This window comes from Homo sapiens, chromosome 21, assembly GCF_000001405.40.
Source record: "Homo sapiens chromosome 21, GRCh38.p14 Primary Assembly".
NCBI lineage: Eukaryota > Metazoa > Chordata > Mammalia > Primates > Hominidae > Homo > Homo sapiens.
This window is the reverse complement of record NC_000021.9, coordinates 30,496,379-30,497,805: the sequence shown is the minus strand read 5'-3', so window position 1 is coordinate 30,497,805 and position 1,427 is coordinate 30,496,379. Positions and strand designations below refer to the sequence as shown.

The following is a 1,427-nucleotide window of genomic DNA, read 5'->3' as shown; positions in this document are numbered from 1 at the left end:
TTTGCAATAATTACCTTGTAGTAACAACACAATACATAAATGCTGAAAGGATGAATAAATTCTAAAGTCTATGCCTCTCAAAGGCATGAGTAATTCTCTGGCTACATCTGAACAATAGGGATTTAAAGATGAAATGAAGGCTGGGTGAGGTGGCTTATGCCTCTAATCTCAGCACTTTGGGGGTCGAGGGAGGAGGGTCACTTGAGCCCAGTAGCTTGAGACCAGTCTGGGCAAAATAAAGAAGACAAAGAAATGAGCTCCAATAGCATCTGACTTTAGAGGAACATATAACCTTCATTTTATTTCATTTGTAATATGCAATATGTCTAGCTATGAAGAAATCTATTTAGGATCTGGTATGCCAAGACTTTAGATACAGCAATTTCTTCTCATTAAGTGGTGTGATAACTTTTAAGGGCCACTCCAATTCAGCAACAAAGCAAACTCAAACAATTTAACGATTGTGAGGGCCTCTCCTTGTGCCAGGGAAAAATGAATGACTTGTGTTAAGTAACTAATTTAAAACACACACACAGACACACACACAACAAACAAACAAAAAAACAAAAAAAACAGGTACGCATGTGACTCATCACATACTCTTATCAGGGTATATAAGCCTCCCTCTACACGTGCTGCCATTCACACTTAGGATCTTGCCTTGAGCAGCCAAACAACTCACCACTCCTGACGCCATGAGCTACTATGGCAGCTATTACAGAGGCCTGGGCTATGGCTGTGGAGGCTTTGGTGGCCTAGGCTATGGCTATGGCTGTGGATGTGGCAGCTTCCGCAGACTGGGTTATGGCTGTGGCTTTGGAGGCAACGGATATGGCTACTGCCGCCCATCATGCTATGGAGGATATGGATTCTCAATTCTACTGAAATCCTACCCTGAGGACACGATATCAGAGGTCATAAGAAGATCATTCAATTTAACCAAATATTGAGTCAAACAAGGGCACACTAGATCAATCCAAGATGAAAAAAAATAGCATCTAAGATGTTAGGAATATTCATTATGTTATAATTGCCTATATCGTGTCTACTGGCATCCACTACCTATACTTTCCTAACTGTGTAATTGCTTAGTTCCCTTTGCAATAAATTGTCTCAATTTGAAATGGCACACATGGCTTCTGTTTATTTATTTGTCTATTTGTTTAAATGCTGACTCTCAATTCCATTGCATATTTCTTTTCTTGATGCTTCCCAATAATCTTAAAATTCTGGTCTTATATTCGTGTAACAATCACAGCTGAGTTTTGAAGATTAGTCTACTTTTCACAGTATATGCCTCTTTTTATTTAAGATTTTGATGAATCTTGAACCTCTTAATTTCTAGCATATCTAGATCTAAATAAAAGTTATTAGTAAATAATGATAAATTCAAATGGTATAAAAAATTAAGAAGCATTAGAAAGACT

At 37.8% G+C, this 1,427-nt stretch overlaps 1 protein-coding gene across 1 annotated transcript; it reads left to right on the top strand.

Moving 5' to 3' along the window:
- Positions 1 to 640: 640 nt before the first annotated feature.
- Positions 641 to 982, top strand: KRTAP19-4 (keratin associated protein 19-4). The gene has a single exon (NM_181610.3). It carries the CDS (start codon positions 696 to 698, stop codon positions 948 to 950), a length of 255 nt encoding a protein of 84 aa, NP_853641.1. The 5' UTR covers positions 641 to 695; the 3' UTR covers positions 951 to 982.
- Positions 983 to 1,427: the final 445 nt, after the last annotated feature.

Excerpts from the sequence above, each read along its gene's own strand:
- KRTAP19-4 (NM_181610.3), top strand. The coding sequence starts at position 696 with ATGAGCTACTATGGCAGCTATTACAGAGGCCTGGGCTATGGCTGTGGA.